Genomic DNA, 21,733 nt, shown 5'->3' on the forward strand with positions numbered 1-21,733 from the left:
CCTCGTGATCTGCCCGCCTCAGCCTCCCAAAGTGCTGGGATTACAGGCATGAGCCACCGCGCCCGGCCATCAGAGTAGTTTTACTGTTGCTAAAATGTACATTTTCTCCTCTACCACAAATACCAAAGTTGTTAATGATTTTTTAGGGCATAAGAAGTAGTTTCTTATTGTACATATTTATAGTTAAATTTAGTTTTTGGATAAAAAATATTTTCAGAAAAATGTAAAAAAAAGTACTAATTAGAAAGTAAGTTTTTAAATCCTATGTTTTTATTAAAAAACAGGATTAATTTGGAGTGATGTGAACTTTGAAAAATATGGGTTTTAAGTCATGTATTGTTTATGAACTAAACGTTCTGTACTAAAAAATATTTAACATAGAAAAAGAGTAAAAATTGTGGTTTTTTTTTTTGGGTTGGAGGAGGAAGCCAAAGACAGTAATTCTTACACTGTTTCATCTAGTAATCAAGTTTAAGAAAGTCAGTCTAAAAGCAAAAAACATAAGAGTAGATATGTTGTGTCAATCAGGTAACAATATGGAATTCTAACCAAAAAAAATGAAGATATAGGCCGGGCACGGTGCCTCACGTCTATAATCCCAGCACTTTGGGAGGCCAAGGCGGGCGTATCGCGAGGTCAGGAGTTCGAGACAAGCCTGGCCAACGTGGCGAAACCCCGTCTTGACTAAAAATAACAAAAATTAGCTGAGCATGGTAGTGGGTGCCTGTAATCCCAGCTACTCAGGAGGCTGAAGCAGGAGAGTCACTTGAACCCAGGAGGTGGAGGTTGCAGTGAGCCGAGATCGTGCCATCGCACTCCAGCCTGGGCAGCAAGAGCAAGACTCCGTCTCAAAAAAAGGAAGATGTAACCTGTTCTTTAGGGATTTTGGTTTAAAAAATCGAGAGGATTTACTGTATTTTTAACATAGGTTTGAGAATATAAGTGGAGAGCCCATTTGCTGGCAGGCACTTACGAATGTTAATGTGAGTCCCACTGGATGGTTTTCTGAATCATTTAAGGTTATCATGGCTCTGAGAATGGACTGTCATAAGGTTAAGAGACTCAGTAATGCTATAGATAGGAAAGTACTTGGAGTAGTTTAAAGTGCAAAATAAGTCAATGTAGATAAATTTAAAGTAGAAATCTGGTTTTTTGAAGTAGGTAGTTGCCGTTTTAATAAACTAAGCAGAAAAACAAATTGAAGAAGGCCTTTTCTTTTGAGGCATTTAGTCCTCTGGAATTTTTCATGGAAAGGAGAATCTGTTAGGTAGCTAGAGCTTTCACCATTCTGGTGGATAGTGTACTATTTCAGTCAGTTAAACTAAACATTTAAAGTTGTTATGGTTAGTTCAAGTGAGAGTTTATGGCCTAAATGGCTTTTAATGACCCTGAATTTTCTGTTTAAGCAGAACCCATGTATCGTGGGGGTATAGTGCAGAATATAATATCTTAGTGTTCATCTGTGGATGATTAGATTTATCGCTTTGGGCCTGATATACATGGAATTGGCAAACATAAAATAGCTTTTATACTATTTTTCCCTAATAACATTCCTAGAAAGTCAAGAAGCCATTGTATTGTTGTTCATAGTGGTGTTATTTCGTTTAAAACAATGAAGTTAGAATTTATTAGTTTGTTTTAAATATTCTTAAAACTGGATAATTAAGTCCTAGAAAAGCCGAGACTTATTTTACTAGAGCAGATAATCAAGCTTATGAAAGAGGGGGTTTCAAGATTTTTTATAGGTAATACTTTAGGCGTTTTTCTTGCTGACATAACTAACATTTATTTTCTGTTTATTTTTAAGACGAGCAAAAATCAAATTAAAGTAGATCTTGTAGATGAGAATTTTACAGAATTAAGAGGAGAAATAGCAGGACCTCCAGACACACCATATGAAGGCAAGTACTTTTTTCTGTATCAAAATATTGTGCGTATTAGAACTTGTCTGAAACATTTAATCAGAATAATCTTAAACATCTATAAATTATATGGAGGGTAACTTCATTTGGTTTAGATAAACAGCAATTTAAAAAATACTAAATTTAGATACTGAATATAGACTGGTATTTCTTACTGAATTTTAGCTAATTTTTTTCTTTCCATAAAACAGTTTTAGCAGAGCTTTGTTACAGGTATTATAGGTTAGAATTTAATAGAATAAAAGATCTGGCATGGTAAACCTCTAAATCATATGGACTGTAGACACTCAGTTACCCTTCATATGGTATCTAAAACAGACCTTGCCTTAAATATCTCATTGGTAAAATGTTGCTTTTGTTTTTAAAGTTCTTCTTTCTGTCATTCAGCATTTCATTCACTCATGTCTTCATACAGGCTGTAGTCCAAATGTTTATTTTCTTTATTCAGGAAAGCTTTTAGTGATTATTTCAAGCCATAGAAAGGAGGTGGCTTTGCTGAACTTGGTGTTCACAAATTAAGTCTGTAGCTACTTTAGACCATGGAATCGGGTGGTAAGATACAGAAATAAACCTTATAGCATTTTACTTTCTTATTAGGTGAGTCTTCATTAATTAATATTACTGTAAATTTAGATTATATAGCATATAACCAAGGCTCTTGCATTAATAACTATTCAAATATTTGTTTATTAGAAAACATATAACAATATATGGTAACCCTAATTATACAGTCTTTACATGTATTTTCTCATTTAATCCTTTCAGCAAATCTTACTAGGTAAATACAACGATTGCTGTTTCATAGATGAAGAAACAAGTTAAGAGAAGTAACTTGTTTAAGGTCAACCATCTAAGTAGCACAACTGATAGCCTTTGTCTTCAAAGCCTGTGCTTTTAATCACTTTATGTAAATCAGAATTGACTTAATATTGGAAGTGGTGGTGATGTCTGTTTTGTTTTATCTATTTTTTTATATGCAAAGTTTTACTGTTACCCAAGCTGGAGAGCAGTGGCATGGTCATAGCTCATTATAAATTTGAATTCCTAGGCTCAGGTAATCCTCCAGCTTCCTCAGTAGCTAGTACTACAGGTGCATGCCACCATATCCAGTTAAATACTTTGTGTGTGTTTTTTGTTGTTCATTTTTTGATTGTTTGTTTTTTGAGACTGAGTCTCTCTGTCACCCAGCCTGGAGTGCGGTGGTGAAATCTTGGCTCACTGCATCCTCCATCTCCCAGAATCAAGTGATTCTCCTGCCTTAGCCTCCTGAGTAGCTGGGATTACAGGCGCACCACCATGCCGGCTAATTTTTGTATTTTTAGTAGAGACAGGGTTTCACAATAACGGCCAGGCTGGTCTTGAACTTCTGACCTTAGGTGATCCGCCTGTCTTGGCCTCCCAAAGTGTTAGGATTACAGGCGTGAGCCACCAATCCCGGCCACCAGCTAAATACTTTCGAGTGGTTCTATAATTCTGTAATGAACAGTTACCCAAAACACTTTTTTTTTTTTGAGATGGAGTCTCGCTCTGTTGCCCAGCCTGGAGTGCAGTGGCGCGATCTCGGCTCACTGCAAGCTTCGCCTCCTGGATTCACGCCATTCTCCTGCCTCAGCCTTCCGAGCAGCTGGGACTACGGGCACCCGCCACCATGCCCGGCTAATTTTTTTTGTATTTTTTTAGTAGAGACGGTGTTTCACCGTGTTAGCCAGAATGGTCTCGATCTCCTGACCTCGTGATCTGCCAGCCTCGGCCTCCCAAAGTGCTGGGGTTACAGGAGTGAGCCACCGTGCCCGGCTACCCAAAACACTTTTTAAAAATCTAATATTCTTGAATATTTTCTTGTTTTTAATCCAGATTTTTTAAGACCCTAGAATGTCTTTAGCATATTATACCAATTCTGTTTATTCATTTTTTTTTTTTTTTTTTTTGGGAGACAGAGTCTTGCTCTGTCTCTCACGCTGGAGTGCAGTGGTACGATCTTGGCTCACTGCAACCTCCGCCTCCCGGGTTCAAGCAATTCTCCTGCCTCAGCCTCCCGAGTAGCTGGTACTACAGGCGCCCGCCACCATGCCCGGCTAATTTTTGTATTTTTAGTAGAGGCGGGGTTTCACCATATTGGCCAGGCTTGTCTTGAACTCCTGACCTTGTGATCTGCCCACCTCAGCCTCCCAAAGTGCTGAGATTACAGGCGTGAGCCACCGCACCGCACCCAGCCCATTTTTTTCTTTCTTTATTGGAGAGATGGCATCTTGCCAAGTTACCGAGGCTGGTCTCAAACCCCTGGCCTAAAACAATCCTCTTGCCTTGGTGTCCCAAAGTCTTGGGATTCTAGGCATGAGCCATTGTGCCCAACCTTGTACCAATTCTTAAGTGATAAAATTTTATTTTTTGTTTTATAGTTCATACGAGCCATTTCTAGATATTTAATTTTTTATGCTGTTTATCGAGTGCTTCCTATCTGCTTGGCTTGGTCTGGCAGTTTTCATGGATGCTGTTTCATTTAGTCCTTTTTGCAATCATTAAATGTAGAGGAGACCTTTAGTTATCTTTAAAAAATCAGATGCTTGTCCTAATAGCAGATGTTTTTATATAATAATATACTAGCTTCTTCTTGAAGTCAGACCTTATAGTTATTCTTGAATTTTTTTTTAGGTTGTTTTGAAGTATTTTTGGAAGATAGTAGGGCAGTGACATTATTCTAGAGGTCTGTCAGCAAAGTTTTAAATTTTTTCATTGATTTTTATAAACAAGGCACTTCCTGAGCTAAATTAGATAGAAGCAATATTTAATAGGTAGATTAATTTTTTTAATTGGATAATGTATACTTATATACATTAAGATATATTAAGATACACTAATTAGCCGGGCGAGGTGGTGGGCGCCTGTGGTCCCAGCTACTCGGGAGGCTGAGGCAGGAGAATGGCGTGAACCCCGGGAGGCGGAGCCTTCAGTGAGCCCAGATCGCGCTGCTGCACTCCAGCCTGGGCGACAGCGAGACTCTGTCCCAAAAAGAAAAAAAAAAAGATACATTAAGATATATTCTTATGGCCGAGTGCGGTGGCTCACACCTGTAATCCCAGCACTTTGGGAGGCTGAGGCGGGCAGATCACGAGGTCAGGAGATCGAGACCGTCCTGGCTAACACGATGAAACCCCGTCTCTACTAAAAATACAAAAAAATTAGCCAGGCGTGATGGTGGGCGCCTGTAGTCCCAGCTACTTGGGAGGCTGAGGCAGGAGAATGGTGTGAACCCGGGAGGCGGAGCTTGCAGTGAGCCGAGATTGTGCCATTGCACTCCAGCCTGGGCAACAGAGCAAGACTCCGTCTCAAAAAAAAAAAAAAAAAAAAGATATATTCTTTATTGGTTAGAAACAAGTTTGGTCATTTTTTTTCTTTTCTTTTTCCCGATACCGAGAATGGGACCAAAAGTTTGGTCATTTAAAAGTGCTTATATCTGCCTGGGCGGGGTGGCTGATGCCTGTAATCCCAGCACTTTGGGAGGCTGAAGCAGGTGGATCACGAGGTCAGGAGTTCAAGACCAGCCTGACCAACGTGGTGAAACTCCATCTCTACTAAAAATACAAAAATTAGCTGGGTGTGGTGGCGTGCGCCTATAATCCCAGCTACTCAGGAGGCTGAGGCAGGAGAATCCCTTGAATCCATGAGACGGAGGTTGCAGTGAGCTGAGATCGCACCACTGCACTCCAGCCTGGGCGACAGAGGGAGACTGCATCTCAAAAAAAAAAAGTGCTTATTTCTGCTGCTGCTGCTGCTAAATGAATATTTTGATAAGATTAGATTTAATATGCTTTTTATATATTTGAGGTAGAGTAACTTGAATTCTGTTATTTTATATAAAACTATTGAGAGAAGTTCATTTTGTTAAGGAAAACACCATTCAAGGACATAAACTTTAATGCTTTTTCTTTTAAATGTGACGATAGGTTAAATGTTTATTGCAAGGATGTTGCAGTTTTTTGAGTTTTTAAAAATCTAAACTTAAATGCTAAAGCAAAAGTTTACATGTGGAATGTTAAGCAATTTATAACCATTATTAAGTAATGAGGCAGCTGTTTTTGTAGTATTTAAAGAATCAGATTGTGAAGTAGAGTACTCACGGGAAAATGCCATATTGTGGATGTTACTTAACTCAATTTTCTTCACTTCTTTTGCCTTAATAATTCAATGACAAAGGAACAGTTTAGTTCTTGAGCTTTTCTTCCTAAAATTTCTTTTAGGTTTATGGAATCATTGTTGACAGCTTAAAAATTCTCATTCCTTCCTCATCTCCTCTTTGGGTTAAGTTAAATTTAAAGATTGTTAATTTTTAATATTAAAAGCTATTCTTCAAGAAGTTAATGTTTTAAAGTAAAAACTATTATAATATGAATAATATAGTTATCATAAGGATTCCTTAGTTGTATTACCCTGATCAAATAATGCTATGATTAATGCTAAGTGGTCATATATTGAAAGTTGTCAGAGCGTGTAACATAAGGGATAGAAATAAGATTTTAGAGACTCTCGAGTCCAGCATTATTTATATAATATCTGTGGGCCCTCACACTGCTCCTAAGAGATTATTTTGGCCATTAACAAAGAACTTTGTATGATGGGTTATAGAGATGGTTTAATCTGGAGTTTAATCAGAAAAAAAAAATTCTTAGGAAGGAAAAAGAAAAGCCTATGTAGTGCTGAAGCCAAATTTATTATAACTATATTTGAAGCTGGCATTTCTAATTCTGGGTATAGACAGTTATTGTCACAAAATTTCTTCAGGTACCCTTCTCTTACCTGTCAGTTTTTTTTTTCTTTCCACTACTTTTCTTTAAATTTCATTATTGTTATATGTTCTGTGATTCAGGCATTTAGTTCAACTCATGCATGAATCACTATGGGATTCTATTAAAAAGAACTAGCCACGAGGCATAACGGCTCATGCCTGTAATCCCATTACTTTGGGAGGCTGAGGCGGGTAGATTATTTGAGGTCAGGAGTTTGAGACCAGCTTAGCCAGCATGCTGAGACCCTGTCTCTACTTAAAAAAAAATTAAAAAATTAGCCAGGCATGGTGGCGCGCACCTGTAGTCCCAGCTACCCAGGAGGCTGAGGTAGGAGAATTGCTGGAACTGGGAGGTGAAGGTTGCAGTCAGCCGAGATCGCACCATTGCACTCCAGTCTGGGCAACAGAGTGAGAATCCGCCTCAAATAAAAAGTAGCCAGAAGAGAGGCCAGGCGCAATGGCTTATGCCTGTAATCCCAGCACTTTGGGAGGCTGAGGCAGGCGGATCACCTGAGGCCAGAAGTTCAAGCCCAGCCTGACCAACATGGTGAAACCTCATCTCTACTAAAAATACAAAAATTAGCTGGGCATTGTGGTGGGCACCTGTAAACCCAGTTACTCAGGAGACTGAGGCACAAGATTTGCTGGAACCTGAAAGGTGGAGGTTGCAGTGAGCCAAGATTGTGCCTCTGCACTCCAGCCTGGGCAACAGAACGACCCTGTCTCAGGAAAAAAAAAAAAAGAGAAGGATTCGAAACAAAAAGGGCTTGAAGAAAATAGTACCACTTTTATTTTTTCCTCAGATTCATAGTCATCCATCCATTCATAACAATGGAGGAGTGAGGAGATACATTTGAGAGAGTCTAGAATATACTGAAGAAAGTCTCTTGTTTGACTTTTTGAAGAGCTGAGTGTATAGAATTTTGAAGATAATGTTCCTAGCACACAGTTTTTTATTTTACTTTTTATTACAGGGAATTTCAGATATATAAAAAAGAAGAATAGGCCAGGCGCAGTGGCTCATGCCTGTAATCCCAGCTCTTTGGGAGGCCGAGGCGGGTGGATCACAAGGTCAGGAGATTGAGACCATCCTGGCTAACACGGTGAAACCCTGTCTCTACTAAAAATACAAAAAAATTAGTCGGGCGTGGTGACGGGCGCCTGTAGTCCCAGCTAATCGGGAGGCTGAGGCAGGAGAATGGCGTGAACCCGGGAGGCGGAGCTTGCAGTGAGCCGAGATCCCGCCACTGCACTCCAGCCTGGGCGACAGAGCGAGACTCCGTCTCAAAAAAAAAAAAAAAGAATATAATGAAACCTCTTCAGCCAGCTTTAATAACTATCAGCTCACGGCCATCTGTGATCTAATTTATTCTTTGATTATCTTGAAACAAAATCTCATAGTCTTATAAATAAATATTTCAATAGAACAGTTTTATTTACTATATTTTGTAATAGTATTCTATGTTATTAATCTTAGAGTTAAGAGTTGAATCCAGCCTCTCATCCAGTGTAAGACTTACCCCTTCAGTGTTTTCTTTTCTTTTTTCTCTTTTCTGTTTATTTGAGATAGATTCTTGCTCTGTCACGTAGGCTGGAGTGCAGTGGTGCGAACTTGGCTCATTGCAATATCCACCTCCTGGGTTCAAGCGATTCTTGTGCCTCAACCTCCTGAGTAGCTGGGATCGTAGGCACATGCCACAATACCCGGCTAATTTTTGTATTTTAGGTAGAGGTGGGGTTTCGCCATGTTTGCCAGGCTAGTCTTGAACTTCTGGCGTCAAGTGATCTGCCCACCTCAGCCTCCCAAAGTGCTGGGATTACAGGCATGAGCCATTGCACGCAGCCCAGAGTTTCTTAAGAGGCAGTTATCCTTTCCTTGAGTACCCCAGTTGTGAGAAGCTAGATTGTGAAGTGGCACAATCTGGGCTCACTGCAAGCTCCGCCTCCCAGGTTCACGCCATTCTTCTGCCTCAGCCTCCTGAGTAGCTGGGGCTACAGGCGTCCGCCACCATGCCCAGCTAATTTTTTGTGTTTTTAGTAGAGACGGGGTTTCACCATGTTAGCCAGGATGGTCTCGATCTCCTGACCTCGTGATCCACCTGCCTCAGCCTCCCAAAGTGCTGGTATTACAGGCATGAGCCACCGCGCCGAGCCTAGATAAGCTTTTTAAAAATGCTGTATAGCTGCTAGTTGCTCAAGATAACTTCAAAACGAAACAAAAAGTTGCCTTCTGTTTGTATATTACTGGTTAGAAAAGCTCCTTGGTAAAATTTTGCATTTTATATACCCATTTAAAGGAATAATTTGGGCTGGGCACAGTGGCTCACGCCTGTGATCCCAGCACTTTGGGAGGTTGAGGCAGGTGGATCACGAGGTCAGGAGATCGAGACCATCCTGGCTAACATGGTGAAACCCTGTCTGTACTAAAAACACAAAAAAATTAGCCAGGCGTGGTGATGGGCGCCTGTAGTCTCAGCTACTTGGGAGGCTGAGGCAGGAGAATGGCGTGAACCCGGGAGGTGGAGCTTGAAGTGAGCCGAGATCACGCCACTGCACTCCGGCCTGGGCAACAGAGCGAGACTCTGTCTCAAAAAAAAAAAAAATAAATTAAATAAAATAAATAAATAAATAAATAAATGAAGGAATAGTTTGTCTTTATGTCTATCTCTCTTGTTGAATTTTGCTTAAAAAATAAAAAATATATTTAAAGTTTTTTATATTAAAATAGAGACAAGGACTTGCTATATTGAGCAGGCTCTACTCAAACTCCTGGCCTAGCTTTAAGCAGTCCTCCCACCTCGGCCTCCCAAAGTGTTGGGATTACAAGGCATTAGCCATGGACCCAGCTTGTTTTTATTAGGCTAGTGCAAAAGTAATTGCAGTTTAATTGCACAAATATTAACAAATAAGTATTGACATTTAATTTAGGGCACAAATGAAAAGATTGGGACCTTATTTCATTTGCGAGAACCAGCTAGAAGTAGAATTTTGTTTATGGCATAATCTCTGTCCTTTGTATCATCTGTACTTTTATACCTCCTTGCCTTCTTTTTTTTTTCTGACCCTTTTGTTGTTGTTGTTATTTAGCAATTCTTAACAGGATGGATTAGAGGACACAGTGGAGATTAAAACTCCAATAGTTAATTGTCCTGATGAAATGTTGGCATTGCATTGTCTGGATTAAATGTATTTATCTCTGGCCTTGTTACTCACTGATAAACTAATACAGTTGTATGAAATGGATATTCTGTATGCTTTAAACAACCTTTAAATTAAAAACTAGTGCTTTTGATTACTTTCTTTCTGGATTTCAACTTTAAAATGAATTTTTATAATTGAATATAAAATAGCTGCTCTGAAAAGCTCATCAGTATATTTGTCTTATATATTTGAATTGAGCAGCATTCTTAACTTTGTTTTCCCCATTTTTTTAGGAGGAAGATACCAACTAGAGATAAAAATACCAGAAACATACCCATTTAATCCCCCTAAGGTATTGTAAGCCTATTTTTGTGCATGAAGTTACAAAATATTTTATATTTCTGACCTCATTTTATTAATATATATTTTAGGGCTTATTAAAGTCACAGCTTTATGAATTGCTTACTGTGTAAACTTGATGTGGACAGGATTTTAGATAATGGCAGGTGGCTGGCTTCTGAAATTAGAATGAAAAGCAAACTCACCCAAAGGCAGCCAGTAATGGCTCAAAACTGGAATAGGATGTACATCTGACAATGGCTCATATACTAGATCTAGAAATACGTGGCAGTGTTCCCAAATTTAGAGAGCCCTTTTACACATAGACAGAGGTTCTTACTTGACTCAAAGAAGTATGTGTTTTAGGAGAGTACCTTCTACATTCAGTCATTATTTGAGTACTTTGTGCCAAGAACTATAGCAGTAACTAAGACTTATACTGTTCCTGCTTTCATAGAGCTCACATTATAGTGGGGAAAAAAAACTGAGCATGGAATTGCAACTGTGATAAATGTTGAAAGGGAGTATGGAATACCCTAAGATCATGTATAACAGGGGGACCCAACCTAAACTTATTTTTGGATTGAACCACTTTCTTTATGTCTCTGCTTTTACTGTCATCAGCACTTTAGGCATTCAACTTTATTCCCTGTTTTGTCTATTATTTAATCACCCTTCCATCTTTTCCATTTCTACTCATTCTCTGCACTGTTGGTCTAGAAATCTTCCTAGAGTTCAGTTTTGATCATGCTGCTTTTCTTTCCCTGAATAAAGTCTAAACTCCATGGCTTGGCACTTGAAACCTAGAACCTGACCCCAGTCTTGTTTCCCACTCTAATCTTCTACCACTTCCACCCACAATGTGGGTCTCATTTTCCATCTTAGATTGTTTATTTGTAGGTGATGCTTATTCTTCCACAGCTTTCTATCAGTTTCACTTAAATCTTTGTCCCTATTATTTAAAATTCTAGTTTTCTATGAGGCCCGAGTATCACTTTCTTCATTAAGCTGAGTTCATCAAATGTTTCTCCCTCTCCTCTCTCAGTAGCATTTTATACAATTTATATAGTGGCAACACAAATATAGTTCCAACTCATGTATTATTTTGGATATGTATCTTTCTCTAGCTTTTATGCTCCTGAGTCATATAGGTCTTTTACACCTATATATTATCAGTAATTCCCAATAGTATAGTGTCCCTTGGGCATATGATAGCAGTCACTCAGAATGTTCTAGAATTTGTTCATTCAACCTATTGGTTGTTCCAGTTTAAGAATAGATATGATAATGGAAGTTCCAGGGTGATTTTGGCTCACTTAGCATTATGGGCTGCCTATTAGTCTATTGTTTATGTACATCTATTTTCTGATAAGTCTGGTCGATTTTTTTATTGTGATAAAATATGCATGACATAAAATTTACCATTGTAATCATTTTTATGTGTGCAGTTCAGTGGCAGTGTATTTACCTTGTTGTTTAACCTTTACCATTATCTGTCTGTAGAACTTTCTCACCTTCCCAAACTGAAACTTCGTACCCATTAAGCAATAACTCCCCATTATTCCCCGCTCCCAGCTTCTGGTAACCACTGTTTCTGTTTCTCCGAGTTTGATTAATTCAGAAACCTCATGTAAGTGGAATCATAAAATGTCATTTTGTGTCTGGCTTATATCACCTAGCATAATGTCATCAAGGTTCATTCATGTTAAAGCATGTGTCAGAATTTCTTTGTTTTTAAGGCTGAATAATACTCCATTATAAGTATAGACCATATTTTGTTTTCTTATTCAGCTGTTAATGGATATTTGGATTTTGTTTGTTTGTTTTTTGTTTTTTTGAGATGGAGTCTTGCTCTGTCTCCCAGGCAGGAGTGCAGTGGCACAATCTCAGCTCACTGCAAGCTCTGCCTCCTGGGTTCACGCCATTCTACTGCCTCAGCCTCCCAAGTAGCTGGGACTACAGGCGTCTGCTACCTCGCCCGGCTAATTTTGTTGTTGTTGTTGTTTTCTTTTTTTTTTTTTTGAGATGGAGTCTCGCTCTGCCGCCCAGGCTGGAGTACAGTGGCGCGGTCTCGGCTCACTGCAACCTCTGTCTCCTGGGTTCAAGCAATTCTCCTGCCTCAGCCTCCTGAGTAGCTGGGATTACAGGCACCCGCCACCAAGCCCAGCTAATTTTTGTATTTTTAGTAGAGATGGCATTTCACCATGTTGGCCAGGCTGGTCTTGAACTACTGACTCCATCTGAAAAAAAGAAAAGAAAAGGAAGTCATACACATTAAGTGGGTGAATTATGTCTCAGTAAAGGTGTAGCCTTTATAGTGTATAATAGCTTCAAAGTAATTGCATAGTTGTGGCTCTGTTTTAGGCAGTTCAACCTGTAACTTCATTTAATTTTTGAAATAAATATTTTATTAAATCTCTCCCACCTCATCCCCACTTTTTTTTAGAGACAGGGTCTTACTCTGTTGCTCAGTCTGGAGTTTAGTGGCATGCACAGTCATAGCTTAGTGCAGCCTTTAACTCCTGGGGTCAAGTGATCCCTCCACCTTGGCCTCCCAAAGTGCTGGGATTACAGGCGTGAACCACCACATCCACTCCCTTGTTTTATTAAAGCGAGAAAAATAGACTCAAAACATAATAACTGAAGTATGTCTGATGTTTTTGCTACTACCTCATCTTGCTATTGAAGCCACTGTTACCTGGCCAGGCATGGTGGCTCACGCCTATAATCCCAGCACTTTAGGAAGTCAAGGCAGGAGAAGCGTTTGAGCTCGGGAGTTTGAGTTCAGCCTGGACAACATAGCAAGGCCCTGTCTCTAGTCCCAAAAAAAAAAAAAAAGAAAAAGAAAAGCCTCTACATCTCTAATTCTAGCTGTTCCGTTTGGAGGTAGCTTTGACATTTAGAAACATCTTCTTAGGTTCAACCCCAATTTGTATTACTGTGACCTCAACCAATTAGTCATAGTTGCAGTTTAGTGTTCTTTAAATACGGTATATATGAAATAAAATTTTTTTAAATAACAAAAAAAAATAAAGAACAAACAAGAAAATGTTATATACCCTACTTGTGGCATTACGCTCTTGCAGTAAATGTTAATGAACATGATAAATATGTTCTAGATGTATACTACGTTGATTTGAATTTTTACTGATTGGTAAATAAAATGAGAAGAATGGGGAATATTTATGTAAATTTCTTGCTGAATTGTGTGTTCACATGTGTTTGGACTCAGGCTTAATTTTAAGTCTTATGAGGTAAAATTATCAAGGTAGCTGGTTATATTCTCATTACTACTGTGCAGCTAAAATTTGAGAAAAGATGAAAAATTCACATTTGTCTTACCATGGTCACAGAATGTTTTGTGTTTATTATTATGCAATAAATTATTGACCGGAAGAGTAGGCTTACTTCTAAAACAGAGAAAATATATCTTTGAATCAGGTGATAATAGTGTAGAAGGAATTTGATTAAATGCATACAACCAATATGATTTCTAGCATTAAATTGCAATGTATATTGTGTTAGTGAAAAAATCATTAGTAAAAATATAGTCCAGTGGTGTATCCTGCTTGAATAGAGCAGGCTGGATGCGGTGGTTTGCTCGCCTGTAATCCCAGCACCTAGGGAGGCAGGGGGCAGGCAGATGGCTTGAGCTCAGAAGTTCATGACCAAATGGCAAAAACCTGTCTCTACTAAAAATGCCAAAAACTAAACAAAACAAAACAAAAAATACTAGTCTGGTATGGTGGCATGCGCCTGTAGTCTCAGCTACTCAGGAGGCTAAGGCACAAGAATTGCTTGAACCTGGCAGGCAGAGGTTGCAGTGAGCCGAGATCATGCCACTGCACTGCAGCCTGGACAAGAGAGTAAGACTCTGTCTCAAAAAAAAAAAGAAATTAAGTTGTGAATTTTGCTCTTTTTCTTTGGTGTTATCATCATACTTTTTACATGTTAAGTTGTATATACATACCAATGCTAATAATCTTTAATGAGCGTATGCTCATCTGTACATGCATATTCAAAATAGCATTTTCTTTTGTATGATAAGGGAGTTAAAGCTGGCTTAATAATATAATATGCTTTGAGACCCTGTCTCAAAAATAAATAAAAATAAGATACGGCCAGGCGCGGTGGCTCACGCCTGTAATCCCAGGACTCTGGGAGGCCGAGGTGGGTGGATCACCAGAGGTCAGGAGTTCAAGACTAGCCTGGCCGACATGGTGAAACCCCATCTCTACTAAAAATAATTAGCCAGGTGTAGTGGCACGTGCCTGTAATCCCAGCTACTCAGAAGGCTGAGGCAGGAGAATCGCTTGAACCCAAGAGGCGGAGGTTGCAGTAAGCTAAGATCGCACCACTGCACTCCAGCCTGGACGACAGAGTGAGACTCCATCTCAAAAAAAACAAAAACAAAAAAAAGCAAGAAACACACTTCACATATCTTCAGGTCTTAAAACTGGAAGTTACAGATGGAAATATGAACTCACATCTACAATGAAGTGGGAGCTGAAGTGTTAAACTAAAGAGTGAATGAAATTTACAGTGCATCCTGTAGGAAGAGATAAGAACCGTTGATGCTATGCCAATATTGATAATTTAAGAATAGTTTCCTTCATTTCTGTCTGGGAACATTGAGAATCTGTTGTTACATAGTGTTCAGATTTCCGTTTTTATTCATTGAGTGCTTCCCAAAGCTAGTGAGTGTTCTGAAGTTCCCAGACAACGCTACTACTAGTTTTGTATATAAAAATAAGGAGACATTATTATTATATTCTTAATAGATACAGGGTCTTGCTACATTGCCCAGGCTGGTCTCAAACTCATAGCCTCAAACAGTCTTCCCACCTTGGCCTCCCAAATTGTTGAGATTACGTGCTTGATTCACTGTGCTGGGCCACGGAGATAATCTTGAAGATTAAATTCTTTTTTTTTTTTTTTACAAAATTTTTATTTTATTTTATTTTTTGAGACAGGGTCTTGCTGTGTTGCCCAGGCTGGAGTACAGTGGCATGATCATGGCTCACTGCAACCTCTGCCTCCTGGGCTCAAGCGATCCTCTCACCTCAGCCTTCGAGTAGCTTGGACTACAGGCATACCCCACCATGCCTGACTAATTTTTTTGTATTTTGTAGAGATGGGGTTTCACCTTGTTGCCCAGGCTGCTCTCGAACTCCTGGGTCCAAGTGATTTCACCCACCTCAGCCTCCTGAAGTATTGGGATTACAGGTATGAGCCACCACGCCTGGCCCCTGAAGATTAAATTCTTTATTGGATCATCTGCAAATTCAAAATTCTTTTTTCTTTTCTTCTTGTTTTTTTTTTTCAAATAGGGACGGGGTCTCACCATGTTGCCCAGGCTGGTCTCGAACTCCTGAGCTTAAGCAGCCCACCTGCCTTGGCTTCCCAAACTGCTAGGATTATAGACATGAGCCACCATTCCCAGCCCAAATTCAAAATTATTTATTTCTAACTATAGATTATAGTACAAAGTAAGAATTAGTTCAGTAATTTAATTGGGTCTTGGCTTTTTTCCTATGTATCTACAGAGAATTCTGTATAGAAGACCCTTCTTTAAAAAGCAGTGCTGAACGCCATATCCTGCTTTTTGCTCACACCTGTAATCCTAGCACTGTGGGAGGCTGAGGTGGGTGGATCACTTGAGCCCAAGAGTTCGAGAAAAGCCTAAGCAACATGGTGAAACCCTGTTCTTGTGTCCACAAAAAATATGAAAATTAGCCAGGAGTGATGGCGCACGCCTGTAGTCCCAACTACTCAGGAGGCTGAGGCAGAAGAATTGAGCTCAGGAGCTCGAGGATGCAGTGAGCCGAGATTGCGCCACTGCACTTCAGCCAAGGTGACAGAGTAAGACCCTGTCTCAAAAATAAATAAAAAAGGCCACGCGCAGTGGCTCATGCCTGTAATCCTAGCATTTTGGGAGGCTGAGGCGGGCGGATCACTGGGAATTCCAGACCAGCCTGGCCAACATGGTGAAACCCTGTCACTACTAAAAAATAGAAAAATTAGTCGGGTGTGGTGGCGCACACACGTAGTCCCAGCTACTGGGGAGACTGAGGCGGGAGAGTCACTTCGGCCCGGGAGACAGAGGTTGCAGTGAACCGAGATCGCACCACCGCACTCCAGCCCAGGCAACCAAGTGAGACTCTGTCTCAATAAAAGTAAAAAAATAAGATTAAAACAAAAGGCAAAATACACTTCACATATCTTCAGCTCACTTGACTGAACCGTAATCCTTCTGACATCTTCAATAGTGTTTTAAAATTATATTTTCTAATCTTGTTGAAAATACTAAACCACATGGGGTTTTTTGTATGTGTTTGTTTTGTTTTGTTTTTGAGACGGAGTCTCGCTCTGTCCCCCAGGCTGGAGTGCAGTGGCACGATCTCAGCTCACTGCAAGCTCCATCTCCCTTTACGCCATTCTCCTGCCTCAGCCATCCGAGTAGTTGGGACTGCAGTAGCTGGGACTACAGGCGCCCGCCATCACGCCTGGCTAATTTTTTTTTTTTTCTTTTTTTTTCTTTTTTTTTTTTTTTTTTTGAGACGGCGTCTGGCTCTGTCGCCCAGGCTGGAGTGCAGTGGCACAATCTCGGCTCACTGCAAGCTCCGCTTCCCAGGTTCACGCCATTCTCCTGCCTCAGCCTCCCGAGTAGCTGGGACTACAGGCGCCCGCCACCGCGCCCGGCTAATTTTTTGTATTTTTAGTAGAGACGGGGTTTCACCGTGTTAGCCAGGATGGTCTCAATCTCCTGACCTTGTGATCCACCTGCCTCGCCCTCCCAAAGTGCTGGGATTACAGGCATGAGCCACTGCGCCCAGCCACCATTTTAAAGTTATAAAATGCTGTGAATTCCTTGAGTTCTGACATTATGGCATATGCTTGTTTATGAATTGAACTCAATAGTAAATAGAGGTTGATTATTCAAAATTCAAAAATCCGAGATTTGAAATGCTCCAAAATCTGAAACTTTTTGAGTGTTTACATGTCACTCAAAGAAAATGCTCGTTGGAGCATTTTGGATTTCAGATTTTCAGATAAGAAATACTCAGCATGGGCCAAGCACTGTGGCCCACTCATGCCTGTAATCCCAGCAGTTTGGGAGGCCGAGAGGGGAGGATTGCCTGAGCCCAGAAGGTTAGGACTGCAGTGAGCCATGATCGCACCACTCCACTCCAGCCTGGGCAACGGGAGTGAGACCCTGTCTCCAAAAAACAGAAAGAAAGAAAAAGAAATACTCAACCTGTATTAAGATGTGAAATGTGTGGTTATATCTCTTACAAAGCAATGTTTGATGTGGGCTCAGTGGCTCACGCCTATAATCCTAGTACTTTGGGAGCCTATGTCGGGTGGATCTCTTAAGCCCAGGAGTTCAAGACCAGCCTGGGTAATATGGTGAAACCCCCAACACTATTAGAAATAAAAGAATTGGCTGGGTGTGGTGGTGTGTGCCTATAGTCACAGCTACTTTTAAGATGGATCACCTGAGTCTGGGAAGTTGAGGTTGCAGTGAGCCACAGCAGTGAGACCTTCTCTGGGGGGGAAAAAAGGGAGAAATGTTTGTTGTACATAAGCCCTATATTACTGTCTTACTTAGCTTGCATTGTATTTGATATTTAGCCTTATAATAACATTTTTGCCGTAATATTAAGTGCACATTCATTCCATGTGAGTCGCTTACATCTGGAGATGCTTTATTAAGTAGGATGGATACAGTGTCTTTTAGGGAAGACCGGACAAACAAGGCAGAAATCACAGAAGTGTAATTAATATACTATGACAAAGGAAACTGCAGGTGTGTGGAATAGATCAGGAAGAAGTGATATGGAAAGTGAAACTTGAAGAGTAGGAATTAGTTGGGAGAAGAGGGCACAGAGGTATGTTATTGAGAAAACAAATATGTATGAAGGCCCAGAACAGGGGAAAAGTTTAATATGACTTTTTGAGCAGGAGAGTGGAGTGTGGGATAGAGGTAAAAATTGAGATTTCAGGAGTAGTCTAAGGCCAGGTTAAGAGTGTGGGCTTGGCCGGGCATGATGGCTCCATGCCTCTAATCCCAGCACTTAGGGAGGCCGAGGCGGGTGGATCACCTGAGGTCAGGAGTTTGAGACCAGCCTGGCCAACATGGCGAAACCCCATCTTGCCATGTTGGCGCTCCAAGATCGCGCCACTGCACTCCAGACTCCAGCCTGAGCGACAGCGCGAGACTCCTTCTCAAAAAAAAAGAGAGAGAGAGTGGGCCCACATGAAGGGAATGAGAGGTCATTAATGGTCCTTAAAGCAGCATAGTGATGCAAATCAGATTTGTTTTAAAGGGCTCTCTTTAGTTTTGGTGCGGAAAATAAATTGGAGGGAACAGAAGGGAAGGCAGTAAAGTCAGGAGACTGTGTAGTAACCTAGATGATGAATGATTGTCTCCTTTAATGAGAAGGTGGATGGAGAGAAGTAGGTATCTTTGAAAGTAGTAAGATTATTAAGACTGAAAAGAATCAAGCATAGCAAGAATGAAGGAATGGAAAGTATCTTATTTTCGGTATTTTAAAGTCATTGGCGAATTAAAGTGCCTTTTTAGATTGAATATGAGTTAGCAGGAGGTAAGGAAGTAGAAATAGGTAGTGTAAACAAATCAAGAAGTCACAAAGAGAAGAGAGAAGTGGAAACTCTTAGCTTCTTTCCATAAATAGCTTAGGAGCATATATTAAAGAGTCCGTTTTTTTCCAGTTGGTCGTGTTCTGTTGCCCAGGCTGTAGTACAGTGGCACGATCACGGCTTGCTGCAGCTCAACCTTTCAGATTCAAGTAATCCTCATGCCTCAGCTCCCTAGTAGCTGGGAGTACAGGTGTGTGCCACCATGCCCAGCTAATTTTTTTATTTGTAGAGACATGGTCTCACTATGTTGCCCAGGCTGGTCTCAAACTCTTGGGCTAAAGTGATCCTCCCGCCTCAGCCTCCCAAAATGTTGAGATTACAGTGTGTGAGTGCTAATTTTTGTGAAGTTCTTAGAACATTAATTGGCACATAGTAATTAATCTACTAAGTGTCAAAGAATATGGGCTCAGCTGGTCATTGTCATATGTGTCAGAGATAGGAATACAAGATCCTCCAAAAGTTCATGAGTAAGAGCTGATGAACTCTTTAATTTCATGGTGTTCCCCTAGAGTTTTAGCATTTTCACTTGTTGGTTTGTTATTCTTCCATAATGAGACAAATAATGAGATGATTGGACTCAGAATCTGGAATCAGATTGTGGGAGTTTACATTGTGCTCTGTTTAGCTATTTAATTAGATTTCTTAAACTCTAAGCCTTAGTATCTCCTCAGTGTTTGCTACATCATAATAGGCATTTCAATAATAAGAATTTGAGAAAAAATTCTACAGAAAAATTAAGAGAAGCACAGCCACTTACTATTTGTGCTTCCATTCACTGGTTTTACTTACTTTTTTCCTCAAACCTATTCTGCACCCTGCCTCACATGAAGAAAAGTGCCATTTACTATTTATGTTTTTATTTTATGTACTATTTTATTTACCAAAATGGATTTTATTCTCTGTTGTATTCTCATAGCATCTACCATTATTCTAGGTAAATTGTAAGCTCCTAGTAATTGTTGGGTTTGTTTAAAGGCGGAACATTTATTAAAGAGTTTGAAAACAACATATGTTAGTGACAACATTCAGCTTACTGGATCCTTTGTCTTCTACACCCCTTCTTTCACCTAGGCAAAATGATGTAATAGATATAGGGACCTTTCTTTTTTTAGTTTGAAGATTTCATTTTCTTGTAGTTCTACTTAAACTGTTTTATTTCTGTTACTGAAAAACTCAAGTGTGCTTTATATTCTAGGTCCGGTTTATCACTAAAATATGGCATCCTAATATTAGTTCCGTCACAGGGGCTATTTGTTTGGATATCCTGAAAGATCAATGGTAAGAGATTTTGAATTCACCTTCTCTCCTTCTCATATGAATACCAAGACTGTAAGAGTGTTAAATGTGTAATTGCCTCAAAACATATATTATACTTTATCTTGTTTGGGCAGTAACTTTAAAAGTCTCTTAAGTGCATAACTGAAAATGCATTATAATTGAGATCACAATCCATATTTAAATAGAAACTTGTTAGATAATGTTAGATGCTAGCTTTACACTTTGAAAAGCCTTGGATTTCATTTGTTATTTTGGTAAATTTGATTCTTTGCTATCTTAAGAAGATATTTGTGAAAGACTAAAAAAGTAGAAAGTAAGTATTGAAGTAGTCATATCCCCCTTAGATGGAATGTAAGTTACAAAATTGTTGCAGGTTGTGTTAATTGAGCACAGTTAAGATTTTGGTTTATGAATTCTAACAAGGAGCACCTTTGTAGGTGATGTCTTCATTTGGATAGCGGTATTGTGCTTTCACTTTTTTTGTCTGATTTGCTCTGCACAGCATTAAATGTTTTAAGAGTTCCTACTCTGGAGCCACCAGGTTCACATCTTGGCTCTCCAGTTTACCAAGCTGCATGGTTATGAGCAAATTACCTAAAGTCTGTGTGCCTTAGTGTCCTCATCTGCAAAATGGGTTGATACCCACTTCATAGAGCTCAGAGGATTAAATAAGTTACTTTATGTAATTCCCTTAGAATAGAGCTTTGCTTTTGTTTTTGTTTGTTTGTTTTGAGACAGGGTCTTGCCCTGTTGCCCAGGCTGGAGTGCAGTGGCGCAATCACAGCTCACTGCAGCCTTGACCTCTAAAGCCCAAGTAGTCCTACCACCTCAGCCTCCCAAGTAGCTGGGAATACAGGCGCATACCACCACACCTGGCTAATGTTTGTATTTTTTTTAGAGACAGGGTTCCTGTTGCCCAGGCTGGAAGCTTTGTGTAGTCTGACAATGATAAAGATGATAGTTAATTATTTAGCACATGATTTTATAGATGGAAAAACTAAGACCAAAGGTATGAAAAGTAATTGGAGTGGGAGAAAACCATAAAACTAGAAAAAATCAATTAAGTGAGTGTCTATTATGACCTTTCCTTCTGATTTTACTCTTTTACAAGAGAAGGTATAACAGAACAAAATAGAACAGCAGTTGGTAAGAAGACTTGGAGCCAAAACTGTGTTTAATGGGCCCAGCCTGGCTGCCTAATCTTCTAAAGATTATATATTATTTTTGGTACTAGAATTTTTAAGCTATGTTTTTTTGGGTGTTTTTTTTTTGTTTTTTGTTTTTTGTTTTTTGTTTTTTTTTTGAGACAGAGTTTCACTCTTGTCACCCAGGCTGGAGTGCAGTGGCACGATCTTGGCTCACTGCAACCTCTGCCTACCGGGTTCAAGCGATTCTCCTGCCTTAGCCTCCCGAGTAGCTGGGACTACAGGCGTGCGCCATCATGCCCAGCTAATTTTTGTATTTTTAGTAGAGATGAGGTTTCACCATGTTGGCCAGGCTGGTCTCAAACTCCTGAGCTCAGGTGATCCACCTGCCTCAGCCTCCCAAAGTGTTGGGATTACAGGCATGAGCCACCACACCCGGCCTAAGCTATGTGATTGATTTG

At 39.9% G+C, this 21,733-nt stretch overlaps 1 protein-coding gene across 9 annotated transcripts in view; it reads left to right on the forward strand.

Annotated features, from left to right (window-relative positions):
• Nucleotides 1–21,733, forward strand: part of UBE2K (ubiquitin conjugating enzyme E2 K) — an 84,657-nt gene that overhangs the window by 37,477 nt on the left and 25,447 nt on the right. For 5 of the 9 annotated variants that reach the window (NM_005339.5, NM_001111112.2, NM_001312647.2 and 2 more), the window contains exons 2-4: nucleotides 1,808–1,901; nucleotides 10,140–10,198; nucleotides 20,045–20,127. In NM_005339.5, the coding sequence (NP_005330.1) occupies nucleotides 1,808–1,901; nucleotides 10,140–10,198; nucleotides 20,045–20,127 (236 nt within the window). The remainder of the gene's footprint in view (nucleotides 1–1,807; nucleotides 1,902–10,139; nucleotides 10,199–20,044; nucleotides 20,128–21,733) is intronic. The other 4 variants (NM_001111113.2, XM_047450156.1, NM_001312646.2 and 1 more) reach the window with 3 other exon arrangements.

Source organism: Homo sapiens, chromosome 4, assembly GCF_000001405.40.
Source record: "Homo sapiens chromosome 4, GRCh38.p14 Primary Assembly".
In the NCBI taxonomy this organism is placed as follows: Eukaryota; Metazoa; Chordata; class Mammalia; order Primates; family Hominidae; genus Homo; species Homo sapiens.